Source organism: Homo sapiens, chromosome 9 (genome assembly GCF_000001405.40).
Source record: "Homo sapiens chromosome 9, GRCh38.p14 Primary Assembly".
Classification (NCBI taxonomy): domain Eukaryota; kingdom Metazoa; phylum Chordata; class Mammalia; order Primates; family Hominidae; genus Homo; species Homo sapiens.
In genome coordinates, this window is record NC_000009.12 from 91348605 (window position 1) to 91370465 (window position 21861).

General features: G+C 41.5%; 1 protein-coding gene across 20 annotated transcripts in view, besides 2 other annotated features; it reads right to left on the reverse strand.

Moving 5' to 3' along the window:
• The window catches only part of AUH (AU RNA binding methylglutaconyl-CoA hydratase), a 148096-nt gene extending 134782 nt beyond the window's left edge, over positions 1–13314 (reverse strand). For 8 of the 20 annotated variants that reach the window (XR_007061324.1, XM_047423525.1, NM_001306190.2 and 5 more), the window contains exons 1-3: positions 13024–13314; positions 7484–7551; positions 7279–7366 (exon numbers count right to left, since the gene is read on the reverse strand). Coding sequence is in view for 17 of the 20 variants with exons in the window: in XM_047423525.1 (XP_047279481.1) it covers positions 7279–7366; positions 7484–7551; positions 13024–13285 (418 nt within the window). In the remaining 3 variants the exon portion in view is untranslated. Of the gene's footprint in view, positions 1–7278; positions 7368–7483; positions 7552–8879; positions 8910–11674; positions 11837–12727; positions 12960–13023 lie in introns of those variants that run through there. The other 12 variants (XR_007061323.1, XM_006717150.4, XM_005252067.5 and 9 more) reach the window with 5 other exon arrangements.
• Positions 13045–13484: a silencer, noted in NCBI's record as "silent region_20025". NCBI's record gives its function as "represses an Ori minimal core promoter by ATAC-STARR-seq in GM12878 lymphoblastoid cells {active_cell/tissue: GM12878}" and the evidence as "EXISTENCE:reporter gene assay evidence [ECO:0000049][PMID:35858748]".
• Positions 16229–16429: a silencer, noted in NCBI's record as "peak7289 fragment used in MPRA reporter construct". NCBI's record gives its function as "represses an SCP1 promoter by STARR-seq MPRAs in K562 erythroleukemia cells {active_cell/tissue: K562}" and the evidence as "EXISTENCE:reporter gene assay evidence [ECO:0000049][PMID:32103011]".

A 21861-nucleotide genomic window follows, 5' to 3' on the forward strand; every position in this document is an offset into this window, starting at 1 on the left:
ATGGATGAAGCTCAAACCATTATGTTAAATGAAAGAGGTCAGACACAAAAGACTACCCATAGTATGAGTCAATTTATTTTAAAATTACAGAAGATGCTAAACTAGGAGCAGCAAGGAGATTAGTACTTTCAGAGATCAGGGCAAGGGAAGGGGCTTGACTGCAAATGGACACAAGAAAACTTTTTAAGTAACGAATATGTTCTGTATCATGATTCTGATCATGGTTTAAATACCTGTCAAAATTCATCAATTATACATTTTAAATTGGTAAACTTTATTCCAAGTAATTCATACCTAAATAAAACATTTTTTATTCCAACAAACAATATATGACAACAACAAAAAAACAAAACCCTATATAGCTAAACTAATACAAACTTGTTAAACTACTACAAATTTGTGGTATCTATCCCTTCACGTTACTTATCAAACTCTCTGAAGGACTAACAGTTAAATACATAAATATGACAATCTAAGATTCTGAAACAACAACGGCCAGGTTACTTCATAGTCCAACGTGCCCACACATCTATCCAGATCATGACATTTTTATCCATATGAACAGCACACAACATTCAATAATGCATGTTGACAATTTTAGTGACAAGTCACTCTTTAGTCATAACATAATTTACTAGAATTCAAAAGCAGAAGCAAAACTACCTTTACTTTTTTATAAAACCCACACTGGTGTAATTCAGTGAAACAATTTAGGGTTCTACATATAGCAATCAATTACCAAGAATTGTTTATCATATATCTTAGGAAATTTCAAAAGAAAAAATCCTCATTCTCAGTAATTTCTCACAAAATTTCATTTCAAAAATGTTCTGGTAAAAACAATGCATGTGCACTTTGTTACTTTGAATTAGAAAAGTAAAAGAACAAAAATAAACAGATGACGGTGATTTCACATTTACATCCAACGCAGCAGCCCAATCAGACTTCTTTAGAATTTTGTGATTGGCAAATATTAAAATTTTAACTACATAAACATTTTGAAATAGCAGAATTGTTTTGACTTGTGTGTGTGTGTATGTGTGTGTGGGTGTGTGTATGTAAGGCAGAGAGACAGACACACACACACACACACACACACAGAGAGAAGAGAGAGGGAGAGGGAGAGAGAGAGAAGGTAAACTAAAAGTGATTAAACAGTTTTTAGAATATGTAAGGAGGCAGCACACATTCAGTCCAATCTCACATAATCCATGTAGCCAATGCTTCACAAGAAGCTTTGACTAACAAAATTATTTTTCTTAGTATTCTAAGAGAAGTACAGGCAAGCCATGAACCCAGAAGTGGTGTTCTAATCTACAAGAAAGAATACACAACAGTGATTCCCAACCTGAAGGGTATGACTGTGATCACACATTTACATCCAATGTAGCCGGCCAACCAGAAAGACTTTTCCAGAATGTCACGATCAACAATATATTAAAATTTGGGGTATAGCACACCATGTGAAAACACATTATGTATGGGAAACACTGTCTGTATCTGTGACAACTATGACATATTTTTATCTGTATTTACATATTACTGTGGTTAATAGAAACATCCATTTTAATACATTACTGTAACAATGACATTTTGACATTACACACCTTCTCAATGTAGGGCCACTAAAATGTCTAAGTGTATAAAATTTTAAGAACTTTAAAGAGACACCTCATATTCCTTCTAGGTTCTAGATTAGAAACCACAGTCTAAGAGAAAACTCTGTCCTAACTGTCAAGAGAAGTAGTTTCAGCTAAGCCACCACCTTTAACCAGGTCTTTCACTTCACAGGGATTCTATAAAATTAAAGGGTCTGAATTATTCTATAGGAACTCTTTTAGTCTAAAATTTATCTTCTCAAATGTTGTAATGGGTCGGGCACAGTGGCTCGCGCCTGTAATCCCAGCACTTTGGGAGGCCGAGGCAGGTGGATCACTTGAGGTCAGGAGTTCAAAACCAGCCTGGCCAACATGGTGAAACCCCGTCTCTACTCAAAATACAAAAATTAGCTGGGCATTGCAGCAGGTGCCTGTAATCCCAGCTACTCGGGAGGCTGAGGCAGGAGAATCACCTGAACCTGAAAGTCAGAGGTTGCAGTAAGCAGAGATCATACCACTGCACTCCAACCTGGGTGACAGAACATGATTTCATCTCAAAAAAAAAAAACAAAAAGAAAGTTGTAACAACAATTTAGGAACTCAGTTAATATCCCAATTTTAGTTTCCAAAAAAAGAAAAATACACTAATATACTTTGTATTTTTCAAAATTATTTACTTTGCATATATTTGCTTAATATAATTTGTTAATATAACGAAGTTATTTCAGAAAGTTTGAAGACAGAAAAAATATCACCTTTAATCCATGATCTTTTTTTTTTCATTTTTTCAAACAGGGTCTCGCTCTGTCACCCAGGCTGAAATGCAGTGGCACAATCACGGCTCGCAGCTTTGATCTTCCAAGCTCATGCGACTCTCCCACCTAAGCCTCCTGAGTAGCTAGGACTACAGGCACGCACCACCATGCCTGGCTAATTTTAGTATATTTTTGGAGAGACAGGGTTTTGCCATGTTGCCCAGGCTGGTCTTGAACTCCTAGGCTCAAGCCAACTGCCTACCTCGGCCTCCCAAAGTGCTGGGACTACAGGTGTGAGCCACCTGGCCCATGAACTTATTGGCACAGACATAGTTTACACAGCTACAGTAATAATGGCCATAACATTTTATATACAACTCTCTCTATGCTTGTAACAGGTTATTTTCCACACTCCATGTATATCACTTTATAAGTATCGTATTTATATGTCTTTATATGTATGACTTTAAATATCTACTTAACATTCTAATGAGCGCATCGGTATATAATAAGTCACTTAAAGAGAACATCCTGGTAGAGTCCTTAGAAAATTTCATCCTTGTATAAACATCATTGAGTATATATACACAAACCTAGATGGTATAGGCCAGGGGTCCCCAACCCGAGTTGATGAATGGTACTGGTCTGTGGCCTGTTAGGAACCGGTGACACAGCAGGAGGTGAGCACAGGCAAGGGAGCATTACTGCTTGAGCTCTGCCTCCTGTCAGATCAGCAGCCGCATTAGATTCTCATAGGAGCACAAACCCTACCGTGAACTACGCATGCGAGGGATCTAGGTTGCACGCTCCTTATGAGAATCAGGCCAAGGTGGCCTGATGATCTGAGATGGAACAGTTTCACCCTGAAACCATCCCCTACATAAATAGGATATATGGTATAACATATTTCTCTTAGGCTACAAACCTGTACAGTGACTGTATTGAATGCTGTAGGTAACTGTAACACAATGCTAAGTATTTATATGTACCTAAACAGAAAACGTACAGTAAAAATACAGTATTATAATCTTATGAGGCTGGGCACAGTGGCTCACCCATGTAATCTCAGCACTTTGGGAGGCCTAGGCAGGTGGATCACCTGAGGTCAGGAGTTCAAGACCAGCCTGGGCAACATGGTAAAAACCCCATCTCTACTAAAATTACAAAATTTAGCTGGGCATGGTGGCACACACCTGTATCCCAGCTACTCAGGAGACTGAGGCACGAGAATCGCTTGAACACTGGAGGCGGAAGTTGCAGTGAGACAAGATCACACCATTGCACTCCTGCATGGGTGACAGGGAGACCCCGTCTCAAAAAAATAAAAACAAATAATCTTATGGGACCAGCATTGTATAATGCAGGCTACTGTTAACCAAAATGTTGTTATGGAGCACATGACTGTATTTGTGTATATATATACATATATATAAAATAAAGTAAAATACTAGGACAAAAATAATAATTATTTATATTAGGGGATGAATAAAGTAGAGGAAGTAGGGTTAGAGAGAGTTCTCTCTGTATACATTTTCATACATTTTGACCTACCATGCTACTTTTTTAAACTAAAAATTGATTAAAAAACTTAAAATGTAAGTGAAGTACTTAATAATGCTAAATAATAGATTTCTGAGAAGTCAGAAATCACTTGGCCCAACCTCCAATGCAATGTAGGAATCTCTTTAATGTTTATCTGTTTTCCTAGCATTTTAGAAAAAAGATGTAGCCAAATTTACTATCAGTAAATAGGAGAGTGGTATGAGACAATTCAGAGAAGCTGCTTATTATATCCCAACCATTCCTGAAAAAAATCAGTGAATTAAAGCACAGTTTAAAGGCTGATTAATTCCAGCAAATAAATGCTGAGTCCCTGTTGTTTGCTGTGTTCTGAGAATGTAAAAGATGATTCTCAAAGAATAAGAGGAGTTCCTATGCTCAAGAAATTTGAGGCAAGACCATTTGCTAAGCTTTAAATATTTAGAAATGAGCAAGGTATCACTGGAATACAGTATTAATATATACAGAGAAACCTTTGTGGGAGAAGAAAAAGAAGAGGGAAAATGATGACTTTCAAGGGATGGAGAAGAGGCTAAAAGGATAATCAATAAACGGTACACTGTGTTTTTGAGGTTTCTTTTTTTTTTGAGCCGGAGTCTCACACTGTCACCCGGGCTGGAATGAGGTGGCGTCATCTCGGCTCACTGCAACCTCTGCCTCCCAGGTTCAAGCAATTATCCTGCCTCGGCCTCCTGAGTAGCTGGGATTACAGGCACCTACTACCACGCCCAGAAAATTTTTTGTATTTTTAGTAGAGACAGGGTTTCACTATGTTGGCCAGGCTGGTCTCGAATTCTTGACCTTGTGATCCACCCACCTCGACTTCCAAAGTGCTGGAATTACAGGCATGAGCCACCGCGCCCAGCAGAGGTTTCTTTTAATATTACTACTTTGGAGTACAAATTAAAGCTTTAATTATGTGAAAGACCACATTCCTCAACAATAACTGATAAATGTGGCCTGATTAAGATGTTTATACTAATATAGGCTGTAAGTTTAAATATTCTTTAAATAATGTAAAGAGATTTTATTTACCTATAATTTTATTTCATATGTACATGTTAAAAGACAGACCTCTTTGGGAGGCCGAGGTGAGCGGATCACGAGGTCAGGAGATCGAGACCATCCTGGCTAATACAGTGAAACCCTGTCTCTACTAAAAATATAAAAATTAGCCGGGCTTGGTGGCGGGCGCCTGTAGTTCCAGCTACTCGGGAGGCTGAGGCAGGAGAATGGGGTGAACCCAGGAGCCGAGATCGTGCCACTGCACTCCAGCCTGGGTGACAGAGCAAGACTCCGTCTCAAAAAAAAAAAAAAAAAAAAAAAAAAGACAGACCTACTGGTCAGCTTATAAATGTAAATACATGTAAAAAAGAGGCCATGTGTGGCCTGTAATTCCAGCCCTTTGGGATGCCGAGGCAGGTGGATCACCTGAGGTCAGGAATTCAAGACCAGCCTGGCCAACATGTTGAAACCCCGTCTCTAGCAAAAATACAAAAATTTAGCCAGGCGTGGTGGCGGGCATCTGTAATCCCAGCTACACGGGAGGGTGAGGCAGGAGAATCACTTGAACCCAGGAGGCAGAGGCTGCAGTGAGCCAAGATCGTGGCACTGCACTCCAGCCTGGGCAACAAGCGTGAAAGTCCGTCTCAAAAAAAAAAACAAGAAAGGAAAACCTTTCGGAGAAATCTGAAAGAACAGTTCCATCATATACACTGAATTACTAAAAGAGAATGATATGCCCCAATTTTTCTATAATTAAGACACTGACTTTTGTTGACAAAATACAGTCACAAATCTTGAGTTAAAAGATTATCCTGATTGTACGAAAGTTTAAAAGCACATAAAGCAAAGTAAATAGATTAAATTAACTTGTTAAAAAGTACTCAAGGCTAACATGTTATTCTAATAAACAGCATGTGGTATATTATTTGAGGACATTTTGCATGTCCTCAAAAAGGCAATCTGTAACAGACATCCACAAACTGTGCTAAAGCATTAAAGCTTTTTTCAAAGTATATTCCTAATGCAGAAATCTAGAACAAATGGGCTGCAAAAGAATATGTAAAATAAAAAGAATTCCACCAGTAACTATAGTGCAATAATTATAAAACCTACTGCCAACAGAAAAACAATGCCGGGATGACCACTAACACTTATTTTTAAAATGTTAATCTGTCTTCACAACATTGATATCACTCCTCAAAAATTCATATAATTGGGCCTTCTTTAAAAACCCTAAAGCTACTCTGTATCTTCCCAATAAGCCATCCAATGACCTTTAGAGAACCTCTCAACCATCAGTCATGTGTTATACTCCTTTACCTCAAGATCATATTCACCTGGTGAATATGATCTAGACATAAGAATCCTAATTCTCTTGATATAAGTCTTTCACATTGTTTAAAAAAACAAAGAACTCAAAATATACATAAAACCCTTATAAGCACTCCTACTAAGCAGACAGTATTACTCACATTTGACAAATGTGAAAACAGAAATCTGTACTGCATAACACCATAACCCTAGCAGCTGGGAGTAATAAACCTACACTCTTTGGTTACTCAACTGGAATTAAAACTAATTCTTTTCGGTATCCTACATTTTAAGAAATGTATTAAGGAGGCAATAAAACCTTATCAAAAGCCAAAATACACTGCATATTTCTAAATATCACACTATTCTGCAATATTTTAAGGCAGAAGCCACAGAGATTGAAGCTTTAAAAAATTGAGAATCCTTAAGAATGAAACTAGGGGCCAGGCACAGTGGCTCACCCCTGTAATCCCAGCACTTTGGAAGGCCAAAGATGGTGGGTCACTTGAGGTCAGCAGTTCGAGACCAGCCTGGCCAACATGGTGAAATCCTGTCTCTACTCAAAATACAAAAATTAGCTAGGCGAGGTGGCAGGCGCCTGTAATCCCAGCTACTCGGGGGGCTGAGGCGGGAGAATCACTTGAACTGGGGAGACGAGGGTTGCAGTAAGCGAAGATCACGCCACTGCAGCCTGGGTGACAGAGCAAGACTCTATCTCAAAAAAAAAAAAAGAATGAAACTAAAGAATATTGGCCACAATTAAGACACAACAAACAACATTGTACTACATGTACTACAGGTACTACAAACAAGTATTTTAATGGCTCAAAGATTTTTTTTCAACTTCCAAAACAATCTAAATGTTGCAAAAGCTTCTTTCTAATGCTGACAGACTAAGCATGTTTTTTTCTTGTGAATCAGTAAAACACAGACAAAGAGGAGTTGTTGGTAATGGGGTTCAAACCAAAGAACATTCTAATGGAAAACAGATTACTATTGAGGAAAAATCAGACTACAGTTTAATTTCATAATACAACATATTTACATACCAGCACAGAATATCCCTGGGACTTCACTCCTGATTATTATGGTCCGTACTTTCTTATCAGATTTCAAAGCATCCACAGCTTTTGATAGCTAAACAGAAATAGGAAGCATAGGAGGAAAAAGAGAAAAAAAAAACAAAACATTTTTACATTGATGACAATAATATATCTTAATATTAGAAGCAAACAGTTTAATCTTTACACTCACCATTTTTATAAGATTTTTACTGAGTGAATTTTTGCCATAAGCTCTGTTTATTCCAAGCACCACAATTCCTAGTTAAAGGGGAAAAAAAGTACAAGCACTTGAGTGAGCAAGGCATTCAGAGAACAGACTCTACATCACACATCTAGCTAGCTTCGAACTTAACAAATCAAAGAAATTCATGACATCACGTTCCCTTCAATCGATCTCTTCTTAAGCACCAAGATAATTTGCAACATTTTGGTAAATTTTACATCACTAACTCAAACTAGAGGGAAGACTAGACTTATTAGTGAAAATTTTAAGTTAAAGGATACTATTTAAAATGTGGTTTCATCATCTTCAAGTAGATACCAAAGTAACCGCTAATAAACCTTGTCACATGCAGGTATTATAGCATCTGCTTTTTCTAGGACCAGTTGTTAATATCTCCATTTTTTTGTTGTTCATACTACACAGTTTTCAGTAATTCTATCCCAAGCTTCTCTCCTGATTTCTGTCTGATATACTTAACCTGAGGGCACTTCCATTTAGATGTCCAAGAAGTACTTCCAACTCAACCTATACAAAACAAAGTTCATTATCTCTCCCACAAACCCAGCTGTCACTCCTAACTGCCCCACTTTTTAATCAAAGACCATCACCTAAACCCAGCCTCCCATTCCTTCCAGTTACCAATTTTCTAAAAACAGTACTATGCATAGAATGCATCCCCTACTTAAAATCCTTTCATTATTTATTTCAAAATATCCAACTTCAAAGATCCTAATTTGATATTCAAAGTTCTACACAACCTCTACTAACCTTCTTGTTCTTGGAGTAGACAAATTTTCACAGTGTATCAGAAATACCTTCCACTGAGTCAGGGTGGGTATGTTTCTTATTTGCAACTGAGCTAAACTGAAGACAACAAAATGTACACATGCCTTCGCTGTGCAAGAAACTGTGCAGACCCATTCTTTAAAGTATAAAGATGAACTTCTGCTCACAAGAGTAAATTTGCAAGAATTCCAAATGCTCTCAGTACAGAGAAAAGCATAAAGGACTGCTATCTGACAGGATCTGTATTAAACAGCTGAATGACTTTGGGTAGGTCCCAATACTACTGACAACAGCTACCACCAGTAGGCCTCAGGCACTGCTCCAGGTGCTTTAAGCGAATTAACTCATGTAATCCCCACCACAACCCAAGAGGTGGGCACTACTTTTATCAATAGTTAACGGATAAAGAAATGGAGACTTGGAGAGGTGAAGTAACTTCCTTCAGCTATTAAGTGGTAATCTAACTCTATACTTGAATAAAACTGTGTTACACTGTTCAAGCTTCAGTTTCCTCAGGAAGAAAATCAAGCAGCTAAGACTAGATGTGTCCATTCATTCAAACATACTGAGTACGTACTATAGTGATCAGCAGCCATGGAACTAGAGTCTAGGAGGGAAATACAAACATTAATAATCATAGAAATCATTAATAATCATAAATATCATTAATAATCCATTCAAACTGCTTTACAAGCTGTAAGTGGTGCTACAGTAACTTGTAACCAGAATTGATAATGGTCTGGGGCAAAAGGAGATGGTTAGGGAAAGCTTACCCCAGACAGTGAAGGTTAGAAGGATAAGTAGGAGTCAAGGTGAGAGTGAAGGAGAGGGGCTGACTGCCAGGCAGAGGAAACAGGAAAAGCATAAACTAGTCATGGTCCCACTGAATGTCCTGTAACCTACGAGGGGGAGAAGAGAGTGACCAATGAAAGTAAAGAGGTCAGCACAAGCCAGAAATATCCTTACAGACCTTCTAAAAAGTCTGGTCTTCATCCTAATAACCATTGAAGGAGTTTACGTAGGTATAAACATATACACATGCACATATAAAACTGGCGGGGGAATAGTTTCTATACTTGGAGATCATACCAGAAGTAGACAGGGGTGGGAGCTTCAAGACACAATTCGAGTCCAATCAACAGATAACAGGTTTGGCTGAGATTGGTGGTGGTAAAAATAAAGGAAAGTGAAAGGATTCAAGAACTATTCAAAAATTTTAAATGAGTTAATGATGCCTAGACTGAGGACTGATTTAACTGGAAGAAAGTGTTAAGGAGTATTTACCAGGTTTCTGGCTTCACCAATTGGATGAAAGATGACATTTAATGAGACAAAATCATAAAACTACCAAGGTGAGGGTGGAGGGGAGTAAAGCTCATGAGTTTCTGTTTTTAATTAAAGTGAATCTGAAGTGCCTTTCAGACATCCAAGTTGATACAACGTCCAAGGGCTAAGAATGCAGGCTCTAAGGTGTGATTGCTGGGGATGAAATCCCAGTCTGCCGCTTACTAGCTATTCGGCAAGTTACTTAACCTCTGTGATCCTCAGTTTCTTACTCTATTAAGAATTCGGCAAGTTACTTAACCTCTCTGATCCTCAGTTTCTTACTCTATTAAGATACTAACAGTTCCACACTCCATGGGACTGTATTAGAATCGAATGATATGATACATGTAAAATTTACAACATGAGGACCCAATTAACCTCCCTTCTAGCATGAACACCTCTCATGCAGTAAGTATTAAAAGTTTCACCATAATTTCTGCTAGATATGATAATGCTGACATTATTACTGAAGGGTAAAGTGCCATCAAAATGTTTCTAACACAGTTAATTCCAGCAATTTTGGTCCCATATCTGAGACTTGATGTTTTGAGTACTTCCACTTCAAAAAGCTAGAAATTAGCTCTGCAATCTGAAATGAATTATCTAATATGTAACAACTGTACCATCAAATGTATCTGTAGGCTTTTGGTATTCTAAAATGGAATAAAACCTTAGCTTTATTCAGCAAAGTCTAAAAGTTTTTTTTTATAACTGTCTCACTTTAATTCACAATTCAATCACTTCTCAAGAACTCAATTATCATGCATCCTCCTCACATAACCTAGAAAGTTTACCAAACTCAGAAAAGCTTAGGCGTTCACATGCCAACCTTAATTTTCCTGACTTTTCACAAAACATACAAAAATCTTCAGTGAATCTGTAACAAGGTCACATCACAGCATGAATCCTGCTCTATAAAGCTCACACAACTGAAAGATGAATGTAACAACTTTGCTGAGACTTTAAAAACAAAACAAAATACGTTCTGCTTATACAAAATGAAAAAATACACTCAAAGTGAAAGTCCTCCTTCCCTAGAACCAGCTCATTCCCTTCCCCAGAAGAAGCCACAGTTATCACAGTTACATGTAATGTAACCTTCCAGAAAATGTTCAACGTATCTACATACAGAAATAGAGTTGTATATTACCATTTGGCTTGTTGTTGCTATTTTACATAAATGGATCATATGTTCTGTTGGAGCTATTCTACATAAATAGGTTCATACATTTTTTCTTTTTTTTTAAGAGACAAGGTCTTGTTGTGTCACCCAGACTGGAGTGCAGTGGCTCCATCATAGCTCACTGCAGCCTCAAAGTCCTGGGCAGTCTCCATCTCAAAAGAAAAAAAAAGAAAAGAAAAGGAAATTTGGTTATAGAGCTATGCCTCCTACAACAAATTACAAATATGGAGCCCAGATAACAGATGAGACCTGGTGTATTCTGCACTACTTACCCCCACCCACCTAAAGTGCTGCATGCTGTTTGAGGCTCCTGTGACTAGGAGAGTTATCCTATTCCTTAGAGGCTGCTGAGAGCACCAAATTTTGGACCCACCTCTAAGAGAAATAAAGGCACCCAGGAAACTCCTTCACCTGTAGTACCCTTGACCTCATGTTTTTCTTTGCACTGCTTATTGCTGGTTCAACAGTAAAGCAAAGCAAAGCCTAGGTAATGTTAGCCAAGCCTGAGTCGTCATTCTTGCCAATTCTCAAAGGAGGCGGGGTCAACTTTAAGAAACCATGATGTATGTCCTATCTCATCAGGAAATCAAGGCTAAAGAAAAAAAAAAAAAGAAACCATGATACCCAAAAAAATTTTCGTTTATTATCTTTTATTATCTGATATTCTCTCTTCTGTCCATTCAGATCCTAACTTAAAGTCTGTCCAGACATTCTGCACAAATATTCCTTTAATTGCATTCAAGTCATAACGACCAAAAAAATAGAATATGGTGCATATTAGTAGCTGTACTTGCAATCCCTTTATATCTAACATATTGTTGGTACACTTAACGGAAGTGAAGTCCCGGCATGACTAAGCTTACCCAAAAGATGATGGCATTCAGGCTCTAATCACTCCAGTGCTAGTCTATGCTTCCAGCTGAATTTCTTACTATTCTGCTTATGCCACACTTGCCTTATGTTACGTCCCAAATACACCACACATGTTCACATCTCCATGCCTTTGACCATGTTCTTGTCTCTGTCTGGAATAATAAGTAAGGAATAAAGTCATTCATCACACTCCTGAAGCACTGCTACGTGCTAGTGGCAATTTACATTAACAATCTCATCTCATCTTCATAACAAACCTATAAAGTTGGTATTGTTTTTCCTGTTTTACACGTGAGATAAGTCTGCCCAAGAACCCTCACAAATGGCAAAATCCACTGCCTATTAAAGAATGCCTTGGAACCCCTTTCAAATGGCGAAACCCTGCAGGTATTACAGCCCTTTCCTCTTACCATGCCTTGAAAGTTCACACAGCCTACTAATAACCAGGATCTGCTTCACTACACTAAAACCAATCACGACTTACACGCTTTTCACTTCTGCTTAACAGATTATAGGTGCTCAACAAATGCATGTCAAAATTAAAACACTGGTCCTCTGGCTTAACCCGGAGGTTAAGGGTGGAAACTGCTATTCCACCCTTCACGACCCTTTTAGCTTTTCCCTGCACTGCCAGTGAAAGGAACTGAGCTGTAACAGTATTCCCTAGGATTGTCAGCCTCCTTCAAAGCCTTCAAAGCTCTGTATTGTATTGCTAATGATGTCTCCTCCCGTAGAAGGTAGCTCAAGGGCAAGATCCATACCATCCACATTCTTATCGCCAGAGCTGAGGAAAATAAAAAGTGCTCAAAATTGTTTAAATGAAGTGGAACAGTCCCTCAAGACTAACTTTCTAAGAGAAAATGAACAAGAGGAAAAATTGTTCCAGCTGAGCAGCTTCAAATTTAAGATTCTCCGTAATAATAAAAGGCAGTTTCACCGCAGCTTTTACAACTCCACCACTAATAGCTGAGTTTACAGAAAGCCATTACACAGCAACAATAAAGCCTGGTAGCAAGGATTAAATCCCCAGGGTATATATTGACCTTGGCTTGTCTGGAGCGGAGGGCGTAAGCTGCACTTCTGTTTGCCGCGCTGAATGCGGTCACTTTACAGGTAAGCTGCTCGGGGGTACACGTTTAGGTTATTAAAAGCAAGAAATAGGTGCACAAGGAAGCGGCCACGCTGGGTGAGTAGGGAGGTGAGAAAGGGGAGGGACCCAGGTTCGGTGCGCCTGCCTGACCTCGACCCCGCGTCCTGCCGGCGGACGCTGCACCTTATGCCCGTCCTGAGAGCGAGCGGCCGCCCGCTGCCCCGCGCCTGCCCAGCGTTCGCACCTCACCTCGGTTCTCCTCCTCCAGGTGCCGCACCCGCAGCTCGTCCTCCGTCTTCATCTCAGAGCTGTAGCCCCTTTTCGGGGCGGGACCCCCGGCCGCAGGTACCCAGCCCTGGGCCCAGATCGCCGGGCCCGCTCGCCGGCCTGCCAACGAGCCGGGCAGCCTCAACCCCGGGCAGAGCCACGCACTGCAAGCGGCCACCAGGCGGGCGCCGCCAGCATGCAGGGATCCCAAGGCCCCAGGTGCCGCCGCCACCGCGGCCGCCATGTTGTCTGTTTACGGCGTGGACCTGCGACGGCCGCTCCGCCCCCGCCCGGCGCCGACCTGCCGCGCGCACGCGCACGGCGTCCGGACCCGCCGCCTCGCTCCGGCTTGGCCCCGCCCTCCGGAGCCGTGTTCCCGCCCCTCACTGCCCCGCCGAAGCCCGGTGACCCGAGGCCTTGCCCCATTCTCCAAGCGAGATTGGATGGTTTGTCCAATACAAAAGGAAAGAAAGTAGTTTTCCAAGGTTATGGAATAATTCAGGGAAGACTTTTCTATAAGAACCACCCGGAGGGAATTATCTCCCCGTACTCCCTGGACCATGCCCTGCGGTCCTGTGTTAAGTAAGCTGCAAAAGTGAACAAAAAAGTTTTGTCTCCTCAAGTTGGCTGAAAGTGTGGCAGCCCATCGTTGGTCACTGCCTTACTTATGGATCTCAGGTTGTTGGTTTAGCGTCCCTGATAAGCATAAATGATGTTTACTACGTGGCGTTCAGGAAAAGGATGAGAACAGCAAACAGGCAAAGGAGTTCTTTCTCCAGCCCACCCACTCGTACCGATGTCCCATGGCCCTTCCTGGACGGAAAGAGTCTTACAGGGGTTCAAACAAGCCATACGCTGAGATGGGATTTAGAGTATGTAGCTCTTCCAGAAACTCGGGATATCAATTTAGTGTGTAGGTACTCATCAAAGCACGTTGCAGTATAATTAATGCTACCTAGCTTTTATCAGATCTCTAATGGGAAAGCTTGCATTTAAGAATACTGGGCAGGGGGCGGTGGCTCACGCCTGTAATCCAAGCACTTTGGGAGGCCGAGGCAGGTGGATCACCTGAGGTCAGGAGTTTGAGACCAGCCGGGCCAACGTGGTGAAACCCTGTCTCTACTAAAAATACAAAATTAGCCAGGTGTGGCGGCACACGCCTGTAATCCCAGCTACTCGGGAGGCTGAGACAGGAGAATTGCTTGAACCCGGGAGGCGGAGGTTGCCCTGAGCTGAGACTGCACCATTGCACTCCAGTCCAGGCAACAAGAGTGAAACTCTGTCTCAAAAAAAAAAAAAAAAAAAAAAAAGAATACTGTTTGAAAAGTGTGCTGCTATGAGCATACGTCTAGTGCCACAGAAATTTCTTGTATTTTTTAGTCCTAAGCAAAACATCCTTCATTATGTCCTCAACTTTTATCCAATGTAGAAACAAAAAGTAGACTGAATTCCATTACTGCATCTGCTGTAAAATGATGTTGAAGGCACTTTTATTTTTATTTTTATTTTTTATTTTTTGACAGGTTCTGGCTCTGTCGGCCAGGCTGGAGTGCAGTGGTGTGATCGCCTCTCGCTGCAACCTCTGCATCTCAGGCTCAAATGATCCTCCCACCTCAGCCTCCTGAGTAGCTGGGATCACAGGCACACACCACCACACCTGGGTAATTTTTGTATTTTTAGTAGAGATGGGTGTTTCTATGTTGGCCAGGCTGGTCTTGAACACCTGACATCAAGTGATCCACCCAACTTGACCTCCCAGAATGCTGGGATTACAGGTGTGAGCCACCATGCACAGCCCACTTTTTATTCTATCTTTTGTAAAGTTCCATGCAGGAAAATTTTCCTGAAGTTTACTACAAGGAAAACTTTGCTTCCTTTGTATCTTTCCTCTTTTCTGATAATGATGTACATGTTGACTGCTGGGTGTTGTGATTTTTATTGTTATGGTTTCTTTCTAATTTGGTCTTGTGGTCACCAGAGGGAGGGTAAATCTGGAGGTGACAGGGAGTTCAGCCAGTGGAAGGGGGTCAAGGAAGGGGCACTTGTGGAGCTAAAGCCTCTGTTGGGGTCCAGCGTGTTACCCAAGCAGTTTCCCATGGAAGTTCTAATTGGTGAGTTTAGAACAAGCAGGCACAAGTTCCATGGAGTCACCCTGTCACTGTGAGGTGGTCACTGGAGCCCATCTACACAGTCCATGTGGGTTATGGAGGTCAACAGGTGAGTCAAGCAGGCTGCATTTACCTGTCCCATAGGGAGATGGTCACCAGGAAGCAGTTGCATTAAGCAGATATCTGGATGGATCACATTGAAGAACTGGGAGGAAGCAGAGAACTGGAAACTGTATCAAAGGTGATTGAGCCCTGCTTCTCATATGAGAAAGTTAAACATATTCAAAATGGATACCAAGGCAAAATAAAATTATGAGAATTACTGTACTAGAGATGGCAGCGGCTGCTCCAGACGGCCTACTGCTGCAGCAGGGAGGCATGGCCAGGGCTGCACGCTCTCTGGCGGGAGCCAGGGACAAGCGGGAGACCCACCCCTTCTGAGTTGGGGTGGGAACTCCCTGGTTGCCTCTGCAGCACAGCTGCAGACTGGGGCCTCCTGCTCCACAGAGCAGGCAGAAGCACCACCCAAGGTGTGGCTGCAGATCTGAGCCTCCCTGTGCTCTTAGGGGGCCAGGAGCAGGCAGGAGCCCTGCCCTCCCCGAGGGCAGCTGTAGCCACCCAAACCACGGCTGCAGCCCCAGGCATCCCTGCACTCTTGGGGGCCCAGGAAGGCCCTGCATGCCCTCACAGGCTCAGAAATGCCTGCTCCTGCTGCCTGGCTTCTCCCTGCTGTTGGCACCTGCTCCATTCTTGGAGCAAAGTTGAGGCTGAACCCAGGCACCATGAATGGCAGTGGGAGGCAGACAGACTCCTGGGCAGAAGGGGGTGGGTCCCCAGTGAGGCCCCAGCTTCTGGCCAAGGAGGGCCTGAAGGCTGGGGGTTGGGCTGCCAGCCCCATGAACCAGAGTGGGAACTTGTGGTGCCTTTTCCGAGCCTGCCCATGGCTGCCCATGGACCAATCAGCGGCAGGCACTTGCTCCCCTCTGAGGCCCATAAAATCCCCAACTCAGCCAGAGCTGAGCAGATGATGGGACAACCAGCTGCAGAGAGGAGCTACCCTCTCAGCTGAGAGCTTCAGAGACTTGCAGAGATGTCAGAACTACCAGCTTCAGAGAGGAGTGACCCTCTCCAGGGCCTCCTCTCTGCTAGGAGCTGGGCAGATGTTAGGACAACCAGCTGCAGAGAGGAGCTACCCTCTCCAGGGCCTCCTCTCTCCTAGGAGCTGGGCAGACTTCAGGACACCCTGCCTACAGAGAGGAGCTACCCACTGCGGGTCTCCTCCGAGCTGTTTTAATGCTCAATAAAGCTTCTCTTTGTCTTGTTCACCCTCCACTTGTCTGCATACCTCATTCTTCCTGGACCCAGGACAAGAACTCTGGCAAAGGTGCCACCAGCCACAGAGGTTTCTGGCCAGGAAATCGACACCTCAAAGGTTCCGTAACACTAGGAAACTCACAATTGTATTTACAGATCAACCATTGCAATTATTGCAATTATATAATTACTGTTTATTAATATTGGTCTCCAGTTGTTTTGATATCTTTATGTCGGTTCATCAATAGATGGTAAATTTAGAGAAAGCAGTTATACAGAGCTCCTGACAGTGCTATTTAAAATAATATAACTTCAGATAATACTGATAATTGACTAGGACAGCTGCAGAAAGATAATCATAGATTGTTTGGGTTATAGAAGAAAACAAAGGACCACCCATTGTTTCTAAAGGCATAGAGCCTGATGGAAAAAATGCAACATAGAGGACTATCCCCTTCCCTAACATTTGGGACTCTCGTCCTTATTTGCAATAGTCATGCACGTATCTCAGGTCTGTGACCAAAGTTGATTCTTAAAAATTAATGCAACTAATAAACATCACCATGACTATCACAACCTGTCAAGCATGACAACTAACAGCAAATTGCCAAATATCAGGAATTTAACAAATTCCAAACCAAATAGACATGGCTTTGGATCCCTGCTCTATAATTGCTCCACTTTGAGACATCAGTGAGTTATTTAAATACTTCATGCTTCCTCTTCTTCATCTGCAGTATAGCTAATATATCTATTTCACTTTATGAATTCTTTTTTTTTCTTTTTTCAGACAGAGTCTCACTCTGTCACCCAGGCTGGAGGGCAGTGGCGTGGTCTCACCTTCTGGGTTCAAGTGATTCTCCTGCCTCAGCCTCCCGAGTAGCTGGGACTATGGGCAGGCACCATCATGCCCAGCTAATTTTGTTTTTTCTTTTTGTAGAAACAAGGTTTTGTCACGTTGGCCAGGCTTATCTCGAACTCCTGACGTCAGGTGATCCATCTGCCTCAGCCTCCCAAAGTGCTGAGATTACAGTCATGAGCCACCATGCCCCACTGAATTATCTTCAATTCCTTCACCTATAAAATGAGAATAATTATGCCCATTTATTGGGTTGATAAGTATGTAAAACACTTGGCACCAAGAAAGAAATAGAGCAGCGTGGAAATATTAGCTACCATTTACCAACTTCCTTCTTAGTCTATTTAAGAAGGCATTTCGCTGTCTTATTTAATGTTCAGGAAACTTTCAAGTTGGTATTACTACCCCCATTTTTATAGATGAGGAAACTGAGATTAAGTTACTTACCAAAGACTGCATCTGGGAAGCCATGGAGCTGGAATTCAAATACTGATACATCTGACTCCAAAGCTCATGTTCTTTTTCTTTTTTAAAAATCTTTTAATTTTTTTTTTTTTTTACTAGAAACAAGGGTGTCACTATGTTACCCAAGCTGGTTTTGAACTTAGGCTCAAGCCGTCCTTCTGCCTCAGCCTCCCAAAGCGCTGGATTATATGTGTGAGCCAGTGGGCCCAGCCAAAGCCCATATTCTTAATCACTAGTTAGAACAGCCTTTCAATAAATGTTAAGGTACTCAATAAAATGTCATGACCTCTGGAATTTCTACTTTTCAATGAAAGATTGTCAAGTATGAAACAGGAATAATGAGTATCAGTTTGGGAAAAGGCGGGTAGGGCTTGTTGTTTGAAATGAGAAGAGTATAGCCAGGTGTGGTGGTGTGCATTGGGAGGTTGAAGCAGGAGGATTGCTTGAGCCCAGGAGTTCAAGGTCAATCTGGGCAACATAGCAAGACTCTGCCACTGAAAAAAATAATAATTAAAAAAAAAAGGAAGAAATGGCAAGAGTGAAAGAGTGGAAAAGCTGGAGTATTCAGAGTACTACACCCACTAATCTCCTGACCTGCTTCTACTTCTTCTACATCCAGCAGAACTGTGAGGCAAACAAACCTCCTTTCTTTAGAAACTACCCAGCCTCAGGTATTCTTTTATAGCAATGCAAAATGGACTAAGGCAAGGACCAAATATCTTTTTCTTAGTATATCACGATATCATAAGCCCCATGGTGGCCTTTCACTCCAGAAGGTCTTTTCCCATCTAGTCTGAGTACTTACCTCCAAAAGGAGGGATTGGATGTCAAATCCAGAAAATCCAATCTCTAGAGCCTTGAAGGGATCCAGTAAGCCTTACCCAAGGACACTACCCCCAGAGAAAAGGTATGTTTGAAGACACCCTCTCTCACTCTGCCCTGCAGAGACTCCTTGACCAGACACTGCAATCCACCCCCACCAAGGTATTGTAGGTCTCATTTTAGGTAGCAACCATGTGTGCCTATGAGCTCCATGACCTCTGGAGAAGAGTAGACATTATACAGACAAGTAAAGAGAGGCATAAATTACTGAAAGTTACATAGCTAATAAATAACAAAGCTGGAACTGGAACTCAAACACTCCACTCCAAAAACCTGAGTTCTTAATCATGACTTTCTTTTGTTTGCTTTTCCTAATTGATTGTAAGGGCTTCATCTTCTCCACCACTACTCTGACCCCAATCAGTAGGGAGTTTTATCAAGCCCTTCTATTATCATTTCATTTGGAAATTTCACCCACTGCGTTGGATCCTGCATGGTCACGATTTCCCAGATACTGCTTCTTCCCCCTGACAATTCCATAGTTGCTGATTGTGTATACGTGCATACATGCAAATATGCAAACACATGTGCCATGTCCTGAAAATACAAACCTTCGTCATCTCAGGATGAGAGGGATGGGGAGACTAGGGGATGAGATCAAAAAGGTACATGGCATCTTTTGGGGATGATAAGGATGTCCTAAGTTTATTGTATGATGGTTGCACAAACTCTGAGAATATACCAAAAACCATTTAATTGTATATGTTAAATCGGGGGATTGCTTGGCATGTGAATAATACTTCAATAAAGCTGCTGCAAAAGTCAGGAGACAGGATTTGGGATCCTTGAAGAGATGACTGATTGAGTGTCTGAGACAGAGAAAAACTAGGTGAGATCAGAATATCTCCTTGTGCCAGAAAACACTGAAGTGCTCCACAATTGACAGAAATGTGAAAGACCACAGCTCGGAAGGGTTTCTACTGGCCTTGCCTGGGACAATTAGAATGTTGAAGAGAACCATGCTAGTAATTGATAGAAACATTTAGCATTTTTTAAAGATATCAGTGAACAATTAAGTAAATGGATGGCAGATGGTAGAAGCCAGTTTCTCCCTGTTGGTATGGGAGACTACAGATAAGCAAGGGAAGGAGGCCAGGATGATTTGTTTGATAAGGGTTTAGCACTGGAAACATCAGTATGAACTCATGTTTAGCTTAATATAGATATAGATGGATACACATAGAAACATCTACAGATAAGTACATATGCACACATGAGTATACACACACTCCTGCTCTGTCAGCTAAGATGAACTAGAAGCAATAACACACCATCGACAATGAGCACACCTAGTGTCAGATCTTGGTTTCTAATACCATCCTCCAGTAAAAAAGAATTCCCCATTGATCCTTGGAGAAATGGGTGATTCTAGGACTGGGGCAGGAAATATACAAGATGAGCCTGAAGGATGTTGTGGTGCCAGAAAATAAGAAAGTGTTCAAAATAACCCCAAAATGATGGGCAGATGTCAAAGAGATGCAGGAACCAACTGAGAGAGTTCCCAGTGGCCACAGCTGGAACAAGATGAACAATAGAATAAAGTGGCATAGCATGATATCCGAAAGCATAAAATAAATATCCATGTATACATACTGATACAGATAAATGATTGAATAGTTAAATGAGAAGAGACCAAACTCCCAAGCAGAAGAATTTCCAATAATTCATGTAGATACTCTGCCCTACCTGAGGAAGGTGTCAAAGATAAAGCCAACAGTAGTTAAAGTAGTAAAGACAGATATTAATCAGTGATATACTATTGTAATAACATAATATGATATTCTTGTCTGCTTTCAGCAGGTCTAGGATAGAAATTGTTCATAAAATTTTAAGTCTAAGATCAGGAGGCCCACCCTATTGCTTTTAACCCTCTTAGTTGTAAGATAGGTGGTATCTCCCTCATACCCCTCCAAATAGGTAAAAGGAATACCTGCTCTATCAGGGTATAACTAGACATCTATGGTCTTAGCCCCCTCTTGTTTATAGTCTTTGGGTTCATTGTGCCTTGTCGCTTAAGCGCTTGTCTAGTGGATGAGAATGTTATTCTCTCCTCTAAATCAACCAACCTTCTATGGAGTAAAGGGTACTGAAGAGGATATGTCAGTCAGTTCGGGCTGCCATAACAAATACCACACACTGGGCAGTTTAAACAATAGACATTTATTTCCTCAAAGTTCTGGAAGCTGTAAGTTCGAGATCAAGGTGTCAGCAGGACTGGTTCCTTCTGAGGTCTCTCTCTTTGGCTCGCAGATGGTGTCTCCTTCCTGTGTTCTTACACGGCCTTTCCTCTGTGCGTGCACATCCCTGGTATGTCTTCTCCTTATAAGACCATCTTTCCAACTCTCTTTTCAGTAAATGGTGCTGGGGAAACTGTCTAACCATATGTAGAAGAATGAAACTGGACCCCTATCTATCACCATATACAAGGGAAATAACTCAAGATGAAATAAAGACTTAAATTTAAGACCTCAAACTGTAACAATCAGAGAAGAAAACCTAGGAAATACTCTTGTGAACATCCATCTAGACAAAGAATTTACGGCTTAGTCCTCAAAAGCAATTGCAAGAAAAGCAAAAATTGATAAGTGGGACCTTATTAAATTACAGAGCTTCTGCACAGCAAAAGAAACCATTAACAGAGTATACAGACACCCTACAGAACAGGAGAAATATTTACAAACTATGCATCCAGCACACCCTAATATCCAGAATCTATAAAGACCTTAAACAAATCAACAAGAATGAAACAAATAACCTCATTTAAAAATGGGCAAAGCTGCCAGGCATGGTGGCTCACACTTATAATTCCAGCACTTTGGGAGGCCGAGGCAGGCAGACCACTTGGGCTCAGGAGTTGGAGACCAGCCTGGACAACATGGCAAAACTCCATCTCTACTAAAAATATAAAAATTAGCCAGGCGTGGTGACACACATCTGTAGTCCCAGCTACTGGGGTGGGGAGCTGAAGTAGGAGGATTGTTTGAGCCTGGGAGTCAGAGGTTGCAGTGAGCTGAGATCGGGCCACTGCATTCCAGCCTGACTGAGAGTGAGATCCTGTCTCAAAAAATAAAAATAAAAAATAAACAATGGGCAAAGGACATTAACAGACACTTCTCAAAAGAAGACATACAGTCAGCTAACATGAAAAAATGCTCAATATCACTAATTATCAAATAAATGCAAATAAAAACC